At 31.9% G+C, this 1,205-nt stretch overlaps 1 long non-coding RNA gene across 1 annotated transcript in view; it reads right to left on the bottom strand.

The window, feature by feature from the left end:
- LOC105377992 (uncharacterized) overlaps positions 1–1,205 on the bottom strand; it is a 61,454-nt gene that overhangs the window by 29,218 nt on the left and 31,031 nt on the right. The gene's annotated exons all lie outside the window — the stretch shown is intronic.

Genomic DNA, 1,205 nt, shown 5'->3' with positions numbered 1-1,205 from the left:
CAAGTACTAAAGATTTCTTAGTTTTGGCTAAAATAGTATTGTGAATTGTGGCTGAGTGGTGTGCTCTTTTTGAATTTCCCAATTTTAGCTCATTCACTTCTCTATATGGCCCTCTATTCCTTTAAAAAAATTTTAATAGCTTAATTAAGATATGATTTATATACAATTCACTAAAGTGTACAATTCAATGTTTCTTTTTTTTTTTTTTACTATATTCACAGATATGCACAGCCATCAGCATGGTCAATTTTAGAATGTGTCCATCACATCCTAAGGAAAATCTGCTGTCTACATTACCTTCCCTTTATCTCTCCATCCAACCCTCTTTCCTAAGCAACCACCAATTTACTTTCCATTTTTATAGATTTTGTTATTCTGGATATTTCATGTAAATGAACATAGAGTATGTAGTGTTTTGTGACTGGCTTCTTTCACTTAGCACAATGTCTTTAAGTCTTATCCATGTTGCAGCACAGATCAGTACTTTATTCCATCTTATGCTGAACATTACATCTGCATAGCACATTTTGCCTACCCATTTAGTCAGTCAATGAGTGTTCGGGTTGTTTCTACAACTTGGCTGTTGTGAATAATTCTTCTATAAACATTCACGTCTAACATGTGTGTCCTATAGACAGTGTATAGTTGGATCTTATTGTTTTATTTTAATCCATCTGACAATCTCTGCATTTTGATCAGATTTCTTAATCCATTCACATTTAATGTTATGTTTGATATAGTTGGATTTATAGCTGTCATTTTTACTTTTGGTTTACTGTGTCTCATGTATTTTTCTGTTCTTCTATTCCTCCCTTACTGCTTTCTTCTGCATTAAGTAAATATTTCCTAATGAAGAATTTAAATTATTTATCTCACTATGTTTTTTGAGGTTTGTTGTTGTTGTTGTTGTTGTTTTTAGGGGTTACTCTAGGGCTTACCATGTATATCTTAATTTACAGAATCAGCTTCCAATATGTACTTGATCCCAGTACATATTGATCTCAGCTTGATCCCAGAGAGACATAGAAATATATTACTCCCATACAACACTATTTTCTCCCCTTCTTTTGTGGTATTATTATTACATCTATTAATATTGTATATTGATTCATGTTACAAATTCAATAATACATTGTTAATTCTAATACAGATTTAATCCTACCCACCTCCTCTGTGCAGAAACATACTGCATTTCTATGTTCTAT

The sequence above is a fragment of the Homo sapiens genome, chromosome 6 (genome assembly GCF_000001405.40).
Source record: "Homo sapiens chromosome 6, GRCh38.p14 Primary Assembly".
Taxonomy (NCBI): domain Eukaryota; kingdom Metazoa; phylum Chordata; class Mammalia; order Primates; family Hominidae; genus Homo; species Homo sapiens.
Note: the sequence above shows the minus strand (reverse complement) of the source record. Positions and strands in the feature narration are given on the sequence as shown.